General features: G+C 46.4%; 1 protein-coding gene across 4 annotated transcripts, besides 2 other annotated features; it reads left to right on the top strand.

Annotated features, from left to right (window-relative positions):
* The first annotated feature begins 1,438 nt into the window (after positions 1-1,438).
* Positions 1,439-11,037, top strand: LOC112267992 (uncharacterized). 4 transcript variants are annotated; one of them, XR_002956537.2, is made up of 2 exons: positions 1,439-1,635; positions 8,238-11,037. XR_002956537.2 is itself a non-coding variant. In XM_024447030.1 (2 exons), exon 1 carries the CDS (start codon positions 4,935-4,937, stop codon positions 5,916-5,918), a length of 984 nt encoding a protein of 327 aa, XP_024302798.1. In that variant the 5' UTR covers positions 4,703-4,934; the 3' UTR covers positions 5,919-6,047; positions 8,238-11,037. The 4 variants fall into 4 exon arrangements, 1 of the variants encoding a protein (XP_024302798.1); XM_024447030.1 differs by lacking the exon at positions 1,439-1,635 and adding an exon at positions 4,703-6,047; XR_002956535.2 differs by lacking the exon at positions 1,439-1,635 and adding an exon at positions 6,619-7,661.
* Positions 12,775-13,275: an enhancer, noted in NCBI's record as "H3K27ac hESC enhancer chr7:6987843-6988343 (GRCh37/hg19 assembly coordinates)". NCBI's record gives its function as "activates a minimal SCP1, AML or CMV promoter by ChIP-STARR-seq in primed H9 embryonic stem cells {active_cell/tissue: H9 hESC(primed)}" and the evidence as "EXISTENCE:reporter gene assay evidence [ECO:0000049][PMID:30033119]".
* Positions 13,276-13,776: an enhancer, noted in NCBI's record as "H3K27ac hESC enhancer chr7:6987342-6987842 (GRCh37/hg19 assembly coordinates)". NCBI's record gives its function as "activates a minimal SCP1, AML or CMV promoter by ChIP-STARR-seq in primed H9 embryonic stem cells {active_cell/tissue: H9 hESC(primed)}" and the evidence as "EXISTENCE:reporter gene assay evidence [ECO:0000049][PMID:30033119]".

The raw sequence follows: 15,388 nt of genomic DNA, 5'->3' as shown, positions 1-15,388 counted from the left end.
ATGCCTGCCTTGGTCCTTCACCCTTAGCAGCAAGTCCTGCTTTTCTGGGGGAGGGGCAAGAACCCCGACCTCTTATCTCTGCACCCCGATACCTTATTTTCATGCCCTGACCTCTTATCTCTGTGCCCTGATCCCTTATTTCCATGCCCGCCCTCTTATTTCTGAGCCCCGATCCCTTATTTCCACAACCTGACCTCTTATCTCTGCACCCCAACCTTTTATTTCTGTGCCCCAACCCCTTTCCCTCTTTTCTGGAAGGCAAGAACCCCCCATCCCTTCTCTCCATGTCTCTACTGTCTCTTTTCTCTAGGCTTGCCTCCTTCACTATGGGCAAGCTTCCATCCTCCATTCCCCTTTCTTCTCCTTAGCCTGTGTTCTTCAAAACCTAAAACCTCTTCAACTCACACCTGACCTAAAACCTAAATGCCTTATTTTCTTCTACAATGCCGCTTGACCCCAATACAAACCCAACAGTGGTTTCAAATAGCCAGAAAACGGCACTTTCAAATTTTCCATCCTACAATATCTAGATAATTCTAGTCATAAAATGAGCAAATGGTCTGAGATGCCTGATGTCCAGGTATTCTCTTACACATTGGTCCCTCCCTAGTCTCTGTTCCCAATGCAACTCATCCCAAATCTTCCTTCTTTCCCTCCCACCTGTCCCCTCAGTCCCAACCCCTAGTGTCGCTGAGTCTTTCTAATCTTCCTTTTCTACAGACCCATCTGACCTCTCCCCTCCTCGCCAGGCTGAGCTAGCTCCCAATTCTTCCTCAGCCTCTGCTCCTCCACCCTATAATCCTTTTATCACCTCCCCTCCTCACACTGGATCTGGCTTGCAGTTTAATTCTGTGACCAGCCCTCCCCAACCTGCCCAGCAATTTCGTCTTAAAAAGGTGGCTGGAGCTAAAGGCATAGTCAAGGTTAATGCTCCTTTTTCTTTTTCTCAAATCAGATAGCGTTTAGGCTCTTTTTCATCAAATTTAAAAATCCAGCCCCGTTCATGACTCGTTTGGCAGCAACCCTGAGTTGCCTTACAGCCCTAGACCCTAAAAGGTCAAAAGGCCGTCTTATTCTCAATATACATTTTATTACCCAGTCTGCTCCCGACATTAAATAAAACTCCAAAAATTAAATTCCGGCCCTCAAATCCCACAACAGGACTTAATTAACCTCGCCTTCAAGGTGTACAATAATAGAGCAGAGGCAGCCAAGTAGCAACATATTTCTCAGTTGCAATTCCTTGCCTCCACTGTGAGACAAACCCCAGCCAAATCTCCAGCACACAAGAACTTCCAAACGGCTAAAGCGCAGTGGCCAGGCATTCCTCCAGAACCGCCTCTCCCAGGAGCTTGCTACAAGTGCCAGAAATCTGGCCACCAGGCCAAGGAATGCCTGCAGCCCAGGATTCCTCCTGAGCCATGTCCCATCTGTGCAGGACCCCACTAGAAATTGGACTGTTCAACTCACCTGGCAGCCACTCCCAGAGCCCCTGGAACTCCAGCCCAAGGCTCTCTGACTGACTCCTTCCCAGATCTTCTTGGCTTAGCAGCTGAAGACTGACAATGCCCGATCGATTGCCTCAGAAGCCTACAGGACCATCACAGATGCTCTACGTAACTCTCACAGTGGAGGGTAAGTCCATCCCCTTCTTAATCAATACGGAGGCTACCCACTCCACATTACCTTCTTTTCAAGGGCCTGTTTCCCTTCCCTCCATAACTGTTGTGGGTATTGACAGCCAGGCTTCTAAACCTCTTAAAACTCCCCAACTCTGGTGCCAACTTAGACAATACTCTTTTAAGCACTCCTTTTTAGTTATCCCCACCTGCCCAGTTCCCTTATTAGGCTGAGACACTTTAACTAAATTATCTGCTTCCCTGACTATTCCTGGACTACAGCCACGTCTCATTGCCACCCACCTTAACCCACAAGTAGAAGATACCTCTACTCCCTCCTTGGCAACCTATCATGCACCCCTTACCATCTCATTAAAACCTAATCACCCTTACCCCGCTCAATGCCAATATCCCATCCCACAGCATGCTTTGAAAGGATTAAAGCCTGTTATCACTCACCTGCTACATCATGGCTTTTTAAAGCCTATAAACTCTCCTTACAATTCCCCCATTTTACCTGTCCTAAAACCAGACAAGCCTTACAAGTTAGTTCAGGATCTATGCCTTATCAACCAAATTGTTTTGCCCATCCACCCCAAGGTGCCAAACACATATACTCTCCTATCCTCAATTCCTCCCTCCACAACCCATTATTCTGTTCTGGATCTCAAACATGCTTTCTTTACTATTCCTTTGCACCTTTCATCCCAGCCACTCTTCACTTTCACTTGGACTGACCCTGACACCTATCAGGCTCAGCAAATTACCTGGGCTGTACTGCCGCAAAGCTTCACAGACAGCCCCCATTACTTCAGTCAAGCCCAAATTTCTTCCTTACCTGTTACCTATCTCAGCATAATTCTCATAAAAACACACGTGCTCTCCCTGCCGATCGTGTGTGACTCATCTCTCAAACCCCAAACCCTTCTACAAAACAACAACTCCTTTCCTTCCTGGGCATGGTTAGACACTCTCACCTTTAGATACCTGGTTTTGCCATCCTAACAAAACCATTATATAAACTCACAAAAGGAAACCTAGCTGACCCCATAGATCCTAAATCCTTTCCCCACTCCCCTTTCTGTTCCTTGAAGACAGCTTTAAAGACTGCCCCCACCCTAGTCTTGGTTACCTGACCGGGAAGCGAGGTAATTGGCGGACAGTTGAGGCAGCACTTTAGGCGGCTTAGGCCTGCCCTGTGGAGCATCCCTGCGGGGGACTCCTGCCAGCTTGAGCGACACGGATACTGAGAGCTCTCCCAAGTAGGCAATTGACCCGGTGGAATGCCTCGTCAGAGCAGTGTGTGGTAGGCCCCCGTGGAGGATCGACGCAGTGGGTGAACACTGGGAAGGAACAGGCACTTGGAGTCCGGACATTTGAAACTTGGTAAGACTGGTCTTTGGAACTTGCCCACTCTATCTGAGTGGAAGTGTGGCCTGATCACCCACGGCGTGCCTGTACTGGCACTTTGGTTTTTGTTTTTGACTTGACTTGAATTGCTTGATACTTTGGTTTTGGTTAGACCTGGCTTGGATTTCTGGATACTCTGATTTTGGTTTTGATTCTGGTTTGGTGAAAACTGAAAAAGTGTGTGTGTGCCCTTTTTACCCATTCTTTGTTCTGTTGTGTGCGTGTGGTGTGAGCTTGGTGTTTTGTCTCGAGGAAACGTGGGTCAGACACAAAGTAAGCCTACTCTGCTAGGAACTATGTTGAAAAATTTTAAGAAAGGATTTAATGGAGACTATGGGGTTACTATGACACCAGGGAAACTTAGAACTTTGTGTAAAATAGATTGGCCAATATTAGAAGTAGGATGGCCATCAGAAGGAAGCCTGGACAGGTCCCTTGTTTCTAAGGTATGGCACAAGGTAACTGGTAAGTCAGGACACTCAGACCAGTTTCCATACATAGACACTTGGTTACAGCTGATGCTAAACCCCCCACAGTGGCTAAGGGGGCAGGCAGCAGCAGTGCTAGTAGCAAAGGGACAGATAGCCAAGGAAGGATCCCGCTCCACCCGCTGAGGGAAATCAACTCCTGAAGTTCTATTCGACCCAACATCAGAAGATGCACTGCAGGAGATGGCACCAGTGATCCCAGTGGTGCCCTCCCCTTACCAGGGAGAGAGGCTCCCCACTTTTGAGTCCACGGTGCTTGTGCCTCCACGAGACAAACATATCCCTAGGCCACCCAGAGTATACAAGAGAAGAGGTGAGGACTCAGGAGAAACCCCTCCCTTGGCAGCTCGTTTAAGACTCAAAACGGGGATACAAATGCCCCTGTGAGAACAGCGGTATACTGGGATAGATGAGGATGGCCACGTGGTGGGGAGGCGTGTTTCTGTGTACCAGCCCTTCACCTCTGCCCACCTTCTCAACTGGGAAAACAATACCCCATCCTATACCAAAAAGCCACAAGCTCTGATTGATTTGCTCCAAACTATTATCCAGACCCATAACCCCACTTGGGCTGATTGCCACGAGTTGCTCATGTTCCTCTTTAACACAGATGAAAGGCGGAGAGTGCTCCAAGCAGCAACTAAGTGGCTAGAGGAACATGCACCAGCTGACTACCAAAACCCCCAAGAGTATGGAAGGACCCAGTTACTGGGAACCAACCCCCAGTAGGACCCAAATGAAAGAGAGGATATGCAAAGGCTAAACCGATACAGGGAAGCTCTCTTGGAAGGATTAAAGAGGGGAACCCAGGAGGCCACAAACGTTAACAAGGTCTCTGAGGTAATTCAGAGAAAAGAAGAAAGTCCAGCACAATTCTAGGAGAGACTGTGAGGCCTATGGTATGTATACTCCCTTTGATCCCCATAGCCCTGAAAACCAATGCATTATTAACACGGCTTTAGTTAGTCAAAGCACAGAAGACATTAGAAAAAAACTGCAGAATCAGGCTGGGTTTGCAGGGATGAACACATCACAGTTATTAGAAATAGCTAACCAGGTGTTTGTAAACAGAGATGCAGCAAGCCGTAAGGAAAACTGCAGAGAGAAGAAACATCAGGCCCAGCGAAATGCCGACCTGTTAGCGGCAGCAATCAAAAGGGTCCCCCAAAAGAGGCAAGGGAAGGGGGGTCCCAGGAAGGAAACTCAGCCTGGCTGTCAGAGCTTGCAGCGTAATCAGTGTGTTTATTGTAAATAAATAGGACATTGGAAGAAAAAATGCCCTCAGCTAAAAAGAAAACAAGGTGACTTGGAGCAAGAGGCTCCAGACAAGGAGGAAGGGACCCTGCTCAACCTGGCAGAAGGGTTATTGGACTGAGGGGGACAGGGCTCAAGGACACCCAAAGAGCCTATTGTCAGGATGACAGTTAGGGGTAAAGACATTGATTTTCTTGTAGATACCGGTGCTAAACATTCAGTAGTAACCGCGCCGGTAGCCCCCTTATACAAAAAGATTATTGACGTCATCGGAGCCAAAAGGATTTCAGCAAAGCAAGCTTTCTGCTTGCCCCGGACTTCTACTGTAGGAGGACATAAAGTGATTCATCAGTTTTTGTCCACGCCTGACTGTCCCTTGCCCTTATTGGGAAGGCACTTGCTTAGCAAACTGAGAGCCACTATCTCTTTTACAGAGCATGGCTTTTTGCTGCTAAAGTTACCCAGAACGGGAGTCATTATAACCCTTATGGTCCCCCCAGAGGAGGAATGGAGATTTTTCTTAACTGAGTTGGGCCAAGAGATAAGACCAGCTCTGGCTAAGCAGTGGCCAAGAGTGTGGGCGGAAGACAACCCTCCAGGGTTGGCAGTCAACCAAGCCCCCATACTTATAGAAGTTAAGCCTAGGGCCCAGCCGTTTAGGCAAAAACAGGAGCCGGTCCCCAGAGAAGCTCCTGAAGGTATCCAGGTCCATCTCAAGCACCTAAGAACTTTTCGAATTAGAGTTCCTTGTCAGTCTCCATGGAACACTCCCCTCCTGCCTGTTCCCAAGCCTAGGACCAAGGACTACAGGCCTGTACAGGATTTGCACTTGGTTAATCAGGCTACAGTGACTTTACATCCAGCAGTACCTAACCCGTACACATTGCTGGGGTTGCTGCCAGCTGAGAACAGCTGCTTCACCTGCTTGGACCTGAAAGATGCTTTCTTTAGATTCAGATTAGCCCCAGAGAGCCAGAAGCTGTTTGCCTTTCAGTGGGAAGATCCGGAGTCAGGTGTCACTACTCAGTACACTTGGACCCGGCTTCCCCAAGGGTTCAAGAACTCCTCCACCATCTTCGGGGAGGCATTGCCTCGAGACCTCCAGAAATTTCCCACCAGAGACCTAGACTGCGTGTTGCTCCAGTAGGTTGATGACCTTTTGCTGGGACACCCCACGGCAGTTGGGTGCGCCAAGGGAACAGATATTCTACTCCGGCACCTGGAGGACTGTGGGTATAAGGTGTCCAAGAAAAAAGCTCAGATCTGCCGACAGCAGGTACGTTACTTAGGATTTACTATCCGAAGGGGGAGCGCAGCCTAGGATCAGAAAGAAAGCAGGTCATTGGCAATCTACCGGAGCCTAAGACCAGAAGGCAGGTGAGAGAATTCTTAAGGGCTGTGGGGTTTTGTAGACTGTAGATCCCAAACTTTGCAGTATTAGCCAAGCCTTTGTATGAGGTCACAAAGTGGGGGAACCGGGAAGGTTTTGAATGGGGATCCCAGCAACAGCAAGCCTTTCATGAGTTAAAGGAAAGACTTATGTCAGCCCCAGCCTTGGGGCTACCCGATCTAACAAAGCCTTTTCCATTGTATGTGTCAGAGAGAGAAAAGATGGCAGTTGGAGTTTTAACCCAAACTGTGGGGCCCTGGCCAAGGTGGGTGGCCTACCTCTCTAAACAACTAGACAGGGTTTCTAAAGGACGGCCCCCGTGTTTGAGGGCCTTGGTAGCAACTGCCCTGCTAGTACAAGAAGCAAATAAGCTGACTCTTGGGCAGAACCTGAACATAAAGGCCTCCCGTGCTGTGGTGACTTTAATGAATACTAAAGGACATCATGGGCTAACGAATGCCAGACTCACCAAGTACCAGACTTTGCTCTGTGAAAATCCCCGTATAACCATTGAAGTTTTTAACACCCTGCACCCCGCCACCTTGCTCCCAGTATCAGAGAGCCCTGTTGAGCATGACTGTGTAGAAGTGTTGGACTCAGTTTACTCTAGCAGACCTAACCTCCAGGACCAGCCTTAGGCATCAGTAGACTGGGAACTATACGTGGATGGGAGCAGCTTCATCAACCCACGAGGAGAGAGATGTGCAAGATATGCGGTGGTAACTCTGGACACTGTTGTTGAAGCCAGATCGTTTCCCCAGGGCACTTCAGCTCAGAAAGCTGAACTCATTGCTTTAATTCGGGCCTTAGAACTCAGTGAAGCTAAGAATGTCAACATTTACGCTGACTCTCAATATGCCTTTTTAACCCTTCTAGTGCATGGAGCATTATATAAAGAAAAGGGCCTATTGAACTCTGGGGGGAAAGACATAAAATATCAACAAGAAATCTTGCAATTATTAAAAGCAGTATGGAGACCCCACAAGGTGGCAGTTATGCATTGCAGAGGACACCAGCGAGCTTCCACCTTGGTGGGTTTAGGGAATTCCCGCGCTGACTCAGAGGCTCGAAAAGCAGCATCTGCCCCATTCCGGGCATCAGTCACAGCCCCCCTGCTCCCTCAAGCACCTGATCTTGTACCTACTTATTCTAAAGAAGAAAAGGACTTTCTCCAGGCAGAGGGAGGACAAGTGATGGAGGAAGGATGAATTCGGTTACCGGATGGGAGAGTAGCTGCGCCACAGCTGCCAGGAGCTGCAGTTGTACTGGCTGTGCATGAAACCACCCATTGAGGTCAGGAATCACTTGAAAAGTTGTTAGGCTGGTATTTCTACATCTCACATTTGTCAGGCCTTGCCAAAACGGTGACGCAGTGGTGTGTTACCTGCCGACAGCATAATGCGAGGCAAGGTCCAGCCGTTCCACCCGGCATACAAGCTTATGGAGCAGCCCCCTTTGAAGATCTCCAGGTGGACTTCACTGAGATGCCAAAGTGTAGAGGTAACAAGTATTTACTAGTTCTTGGGCGCACCTACTCTCGGTAGGTGGAGGCTTATCCAACACGAACTGAGAAACCTCGTGAAGTAACTCGTGTGCTTCTTCGAGATCCTATTCTTAGATTTGGACTGCCCTTATGGATCAGCTCAGATAATGGGCCGGCGTTTGTGGCTGACTTAGTACAGAAGGTGGCAAAGATGTTAGGGATCACATGGAAAGTGCATGCTGCCTACTGGCCTCAGAGTTTCAGAAAGGTGGAGCGAATGAATCAAACTATCAAAAATAGTTTAGGGAAAGTATGTCAGGAAACAGGATTAAAATGGCTACAGGCTCTCCCTATGGTATTATTTAAAATTAGATGTACCCGTTCTAAAAGAACAGGATATTCCCCTTATGAAATATTATATCGTAGGCCCCCTCCTATATTGCGGGGACTTCCAGGCACTCCCTGAGAGTTAGGTGAAATTGAGTTACAGCGACAGCTACAGGCCTTATGAAAAATTACACAAACAATCTCAGCCTGGGTAAATGAGAGATGCCCTGTTAGCTTATTCTCCCCAGTTCACCCTTTCTCCCCAGATGATCGAGTGTGGATCAAGGACTGGAAAGTAGCCTCTTTGTGCCCACGGTGGAAAGGACCCCAGACTATCGTCCTGAGCACTCCCACCGCTGTGAAGGTAGAAGGAATCCCAGCCTGGATCCAACACAGCCATATAAAACCTGCAGGGCCTGAAACCTGGGAGGCAAGACCAAGCCCAGACAACCCTTGCAGAGTGACCCTGAAGAAGACGACAAGCCCTGCTCCAGTCACACCCAGAAGCTGACTGGTCCACGCACGGCCGAAGCCTGAGGAAGCTCATCATGAGATTCATTTTTCTTAAATTTTGGACTTATACAGTAAGGGCTTCAACTGACCTTACTCAAACTGGGGACTGTTCCCAGTGTATTCATCAGGTCACCGAAGTAGGACAGCAAATTAAAACAATCTTTCTGTTCTATAGTTATGAATGTATGGGAACATTAAAAGAAACTTGTTTGTATAATGCCACTCAGTACAAGGTATGTAGCCGAAGAAATGACCGACCTGATGTGTGTTATAACCCATCTGAGCCCCCTGCAACCGCCGTTTTTGAAAAAAGAATAAGAACTGGCCTTTTCCTAGGTGATACAAGTAAAATAATAACTAGAACAGAAGAAAAAGAAATCCCCAAGCAAATAACTTTAAGATTTGATGCTTGTGCAGCCATTAATAGTAAACAGCTAGAAATAGGATGTGGTTCTCTTAATTAAGAAAGGAGCTAAAGAGTAGAAAATAAATATGTTTGTCATGAGTCAGGGGTTTGTGAAAATTGTGGCTATTGGACATGTGTTATTTAGGCTACTTTAAAAAAGAACAAAAAGGACCCGGTTTATCTTCAGAAGGGGGAAGCCAACCCCTCCTGTGCTGCCAGTCACTGTAACCCACTAGAACTAATAATTACCATTCCCTAGATCCCCGTTGGAAAAAGGGAGAACGTGTAACCCTGGGGATCAATAGGACAGGGTTAAACCCTCAAGTTGCCATTTTAATTAGAGGGGAGGTCCACAAGTGCTCTCCCAAAACCAGTATTTCAAACCTTTTATGAGGAGCTGAATCTGCCAGCACCAGAACTTCCGAAAAAGACAAAAAATTTGTTTCTCCAATTAGCAGAAAATGTAGCTCATTCCCTTAATGTTACTTCTTGTTATGTACGCGGAGGAACCACTGTCGGAGACAGATGGCCTTGGGAAGCCCGAGAGTTGGTGCCTACTGATCCAGCTCCTGATATAATTCCAGTTCAGAAGGCCCAAGCTAGCAACTTCTAGGTCCAAAAACCTCAATTATTAGACAATACTGTATAGCTAGAGAAGGGAAAGACTTTATCATCCCTGTAGGAAAGCTTAATTGTATAGGACAGAAGTTGTATAACAGCACAACAAAGACAATTACTTAGTAGGGCCTAAACCACACTGAAAAGAATCCATTTAGTAAATTTTCTAAATTACAAACTGCTTTGGCTCATCCAGAATCTCATCAGGACTGGACAGTTCCCTCTGGACTATACTAGATATGTAGGCACAGAGCCTACTTTCAGTTACCTAATAAATGGGCAGGCAGTTGTGTTATTGGCACTATTAAGCCGTCCTTTTTCTTATTACCCATAAAAACAGGTAAGCTGCTAGGTTTCCCTGTCTATACTTCCCGAGAAAAGAAAGGCATAGTTATAGGAAACTGGAAAGATAATGAGTGGCCCCCTGAAAGGATCATACAGTATTATGGGCCTGCCACATGGGCACAAGATGGCTCATGGGGATACCGAACCCCCATCTACATGCTCAATTGGATCATACGGTTGCAGGCTGTCTTAGAAATAATTACTAATGAAACTGGCAGAGCTTTGACTGTTTTAGCTTGGCAAGAAACCCAAATGAGGAATGCTATCTATCAGAATAGACTGGCCTTAGACTACTTGTTAGTAGCTGAAGGAGGAGTTTGTGGAAAATTTAACTTAACCAATTGCTGCCTACAAATAAATGATCAAGGATAGGAGGTTAAAATGATCAAGGATAGTCAGGGACATGACAAAGGTGGCACATGTGCCTTTACAGATTTGGCACGAGTTTAACCCTGAGTCTTTATTTGGAAAATGGTTTCCAGCTATAGGAGGATTTAAACCCCTCATTGTAGGTGTATTGCTAGTGATAGGAGCTTGCTTGCTGCTCCCCCGTGTATTACCCTCGCTTTTTCAAATGACAAAAGGTTTTGTTGCTACTTTGATTCATCAGAAAACTTCAGCACAGGTGTATTATATAAATCACTATCGTTCAATCTCACAGAGAGACTCAAAAAGTAAAGATGAGAGCGAGAACTCCCACTAAAAGTGAAAATTCTCAAAGGAGGGAAATATGGTGTGAGACCACCACGTCTCCTGCTGTCCTTCCCAGTTCCTCCCCAACCTCCCTTTTTCCCTAGTTTATAAGACAGGAAAAAAGGGAGAAAGCAAAAAGCTGGAAAAAACAGAAGTAAAATAAATAGCTAGACGCCCTCGGCGCCACCACCTGGCCCCGGTGGTTAAAATATCAATAATATTAACCCCTGACCAAAACTACTGGTGTTATCTGTAAATCCCAGACATTGTATGAGAAAGCACTGTAAAAACTTTTTGTTCTGTTAGCTGATGTTTGTAGCCCCCAGTCACATTTCTCACGCTTACTTGATCTATTATGACTTTTTCGGGTAGATCCCTTAGAGTTGTAAGCCCTTAAAAGGGCTAGGAATTTCTTTTTCAGGGAGCTCGGCTCTTAAGACACGAGTCTGCTGACTCTCCCGGCCGAATAAAAAAACCTCTTCCTTCTTTAATCCGGTGTCTGAGGAGTTTTGTCTGCAACTCGTCCTGCTACTCTAGCTCTCCGTGACTCATCCCAACCCTTTTCATTACACACAGCCGAAGTGCAGCGCTGTGCAGTTGAAATTCTTACACAAGGACCAGGATCGCGTCCTGTAGCCTTTTTGTCCAAACAACTTGACCTTACCGTTTTAGGTTGGCCATTATGTCTCCGTGAAGCAGCTGCTGCCACCCTAATAGTTTTAAAGGCCCTTAAAATCACAAGCTATGCTCAACTCACTCTCTACAGCTCTCATAACTTCCAAAATCTATTTTCTTCCTCACACCTGCCACATATACTTTCTGCTCCCTGGCTCCTTCAGCTGTACTCACGCTTTGTTGAGTCTCCCACAATTACCATTGTTCCTGGCCCGGACTTCAATCCGGCCTCCCACATTATTCCTGATACCACACCTGACCCTCATGACTTCATCTCTCTGATCCATCTGACATTCACCCCATTTCCCCACATTTCCTTCTTCTCTGTTTCTCACCCTGATCACACTTAGTTTATTGATGGCAGTTCCACCAGGCCTAATCGCCACACACCAGCAAAGGCAGGCTATGCTATAGTACAAGCCACTAGCCCGCCTCTTAGAACCTCTCATTTCCTTTCCATCGTGGAAATCTATCCTCAAGGAAATAACTTCTCAGTGTTCCATCAGCTATTCTACTACTCCTCAGGGATTCTTCAGGCCCCCTCCCTTCCCTACACATCAAGCTCAGGGATTTGCCCCCACCCAGGACTGGCAAATTAGCTTTACTCAACGTGCCCCGAGTCAGGAAACTAAAATACCTCTTGGTCTAGGTAGACACTTTCACTGGATAGGTAGGGGCCTTTCCCACAGGGTGTAAGAAGACCACCAAGGTCATTTCTTCCCTTCTGTCAGACATAATTCCTCAGTTTAGCCTTCCCACCTCTATACAGTCTGATAGCAGACCGGCCTTTAGTAATCAAGTCAGCCAAGCATTTTTTCAGGCTCCTGGTATTCAGTGAAACCTTTATATCCCTTACAGTCCTCAGTCCTCAGGAAAGGTAGAACAGACTAATGGTCTTTTAAAAACACATCTTACCAAGCTCAGCCACCAACGTAAAAAGGACTGGACAATACTTTTACCACTTTCCCTTCTCAGAAGTCAGGCCTGTCCTTGGAATGCTATAAGGTACAGCCCACTTGAGCTCCTGTATAGACGCTCCTTTTTATTAGGCCCCAGTCTCATTCCAGACACAAGACCAACTTGGACTGTGCCCCAAAAAACTTGTCATCCCTACTGTCTTCTGTCTAGTCATACTTCTATTCACCGTTCTCAACTACTCATATATGCCCTGCTCTTGTTTACACTGGTGGTTTACACTGTTTCTCCAAGCCATCACAGGTGATATCTCCTGGTGCTATCCCCAAACCACCACTCTTAACTCTTAAATAAATAATCTTTGCTGGCAAGGCTATGCTGAACCTCCTTAGGCACTCTCTAATTAGATGTCCTAGGTCCTCCCAATTCTTCGTCCTTTAATGCCTGTTTTTCTCCTTCTCTTATTCCGTTTAGTTTTTCAATTCATACAAAACTGTATACAGGCCATCACCAATAATTCTAAATGACAAATGTTTCTTCTAACAACCCTACAATATCACCCCTTACCACAAAATCTTCCTTCAGCTTAATCTCTCGACTCAAGGTTCCCATGCCACCCCTAATCCCCCTTGAAGCAGCCCTTAGAAACATCGCCCATTATCTCTCCATACCACCCCCAAAAAATTTTCACCATCCTAATACTTTACCACTATTTCATTTTATTTTTCGTATTAATATAAGAAGACAGGAACGTCAGACCTCTGAGCCCAAGCTAAGCCATCATATCCCCTGTGACCTGCATGTACACATCCAGATGGCCGGTTCCTGCCTTAACTGATGACATTCCACTATAAAATAAATGAAAATGGCCTGTTCCTGCCTTAACTGATGACATTATCTTGTGAAATTCCTTCTCCTTGCTCATCCTGGCTCAAAAGCTCCCCTACTGAGCACCTTGTGACCCCCACTCCTGCCTGCCAGAGAGCACCCCTTTTTCCTTTACCTACCCAAATCCTATAAAATGGCCCCACCCCTATCTCCCTTCGCTGACTCTCTTTTTGGACTCAGCCCACATGCACCCAGGTGAAATAAACAGCTTTATTGCTCACAAAAAGCCTGTTTTGTGGTCTCTTCACACGGACGTGCATGAAAAAGAGTGTCCTATTTTTTTTTTTTTTTTTTTTTTTGAGAAGGAGTTTCACTCTTGTTGCCCAGGCTGGAGTGCAATGGCATGACCTCAGCTCACTGCCACCTCCTCCTCCTGGATTCAAGCAACTCTCTTGCCTCAGCCTCCCCAGTAGCTGGGATTGCAGGCATGCGCCACCATGCCCGGCTAATTTTGTATTTTTAGTAGAGATGGGGTTTCTCCATGTTGGTCAGGCTGGTCTCAAACTCCTGGCCTGAGGTGATCCACCCGCCTCGGCCTCCCAAAGTGCTGGGATTACAGGTGTGAGCCACTGCGCCCGGACAGTAGTGTCCTCTTATAAGGACACTTGTCTTTAGATGTACAGCCTACCTAAAATACCCCAGGAGAATCTCATCTCAAGATCCTTAACTTAATTACATCTGCAAAGACCCTTTTTCCAAATAATGCCACCTCAACAGATTCTAGGCACAAGGATCTGGATATATCTTGTGCAAATCCACCATTCAGCTCACTACACTAGAAAGAGGAAAAATAACGAAGTAACAAAAGGCGCAGAAGAAAGAACAGATGCAGCTTGTGTGGCAGTGGCCATCAAGGCAGGCTGGGGTAAAACTGTGTCAACAGAACCCCCAGATGGAACTCGAGTGCCGCCGTCTGCTCCCAGCTACTCACAGAGAACTTTTCTGTTTCTGACAGCAGAGTAAGAGAAGAGGTGGGAAGAGAGATAGCCCATTCTCTGTTGGCCTAATTCCTAAGGAATCATGCCTCTGCCTTCGGGCCATTCTCAAGTCTTGTTCAAGGATAAAATGATTTATTGATGGCCGTAATTATAAAGCAATGCCAACAGAAGCAGCCTCAGCATTTTTCATTTGTACTTACACATGAGCAAGAGCAGTTTAGGGAAACGGGTGCCTTCAGGTTCTATTTCTCCATCTAGAGAAGGGCTGCCTTCATGGAATGCTGGTCCTGGGGAGAAGCCTCATTTCTATAGCAGGAATTGATATAGTTTTAAATTCCAATTGGTACACGGAGCTACCCGTCCTCATTTCAAGCACTTCTGGTTTGTTCTGGGTTCAGTGGGTGAGAAATGAGTAGAACTCTGGGGAAGAGGATGTGGGGTGAGCGTGGTTTTGATACCCAGACAGAGCTGTTCTTCCATCAGTGTCTTGAATGTGATTCAGAAAGGGCTTCTCCACTCAAGATGGGAGTAATGAGCTGATTTAAGGCGGGTGATTGACTTGTTTTGGTGGCTATTTTTATACTAGCTGGTTAACGAGCTATTTTCTTCATTAGTTTCAGGCATGTGAGCTTAATGAAGCATTGGACCTCCCAAATTACAAGGGAAATATATAGCTTATATGGTAGGTTCAAAGGAGTTAGTGAACAAACACAGTAGGGCCACAAATTATTGTTAAAGACATGAATGCATGAAAGTGTATCTATGTCCAAATGGACTCTGCAACCATACTGTTCCACCTGAAAATTAGTAGATCGAAATTCCGCAAATGCTTGGACAGGGGATACTCTCAGAAACATTCTGACTAAAGAGCTTGGTTTCTTTTCACATCACTAAGGTAATTTCTTCCCGGATTGACTCTGGACTAAATCTTATGATACCTACTTGTTCTGATTGTACTTAGCCACCTGCAAATAAGGTGGGGGCAGTGGTAAGAGGAGCTGTTGAATGAAATTAAACATTTGTTGGATGCCTACTGAGGATAAAGCCCTGTGCTTTGTGCCAGGAAGATTCCAGAATAAATGAGGCACAGACCTACTCTCCGGAAGCTTTTGCAAACTAATGGAGAAAACACATCTGCGGGCAATGACTTATGGTATAAGAGGAAATGGGGCCAGGTACGGTGACTCACACCTGTAATCCCAGCACTTTGAGAGGCCAAGGTAGGTGGATCGCTTGAGGTCAGGAGTTCAAGACCAGCCTGGCCAACATGGCGAAACCCTGTCTCTACTAAAAATACAAAAAAAAAAACGAGCCACGCTTGATGGTGTGCACCCACAATCTCAGCTACTTGGGAGGCTGAGGCACAAGAATCACTTAAACCTGGGAGGTGGAGACTGTAGTGAGCCGAGATCCCACCACTGCACTC

This window comes from Homo sapiens, chromosome 7 (assembly GCF_000001405.40).
Source record: "Homo sapiens chromosome 7, GRCh38.p14 Primary Assembly".
Taxonomy (NCBI): Eukaryota; Metazoa; Chordata; class Mammalia; order Primates; family Hominidae; genus Homo; species Homo sapiens.
This window is presented reverse-complemented; position numbering and strand designations above follow the sequence as displayed.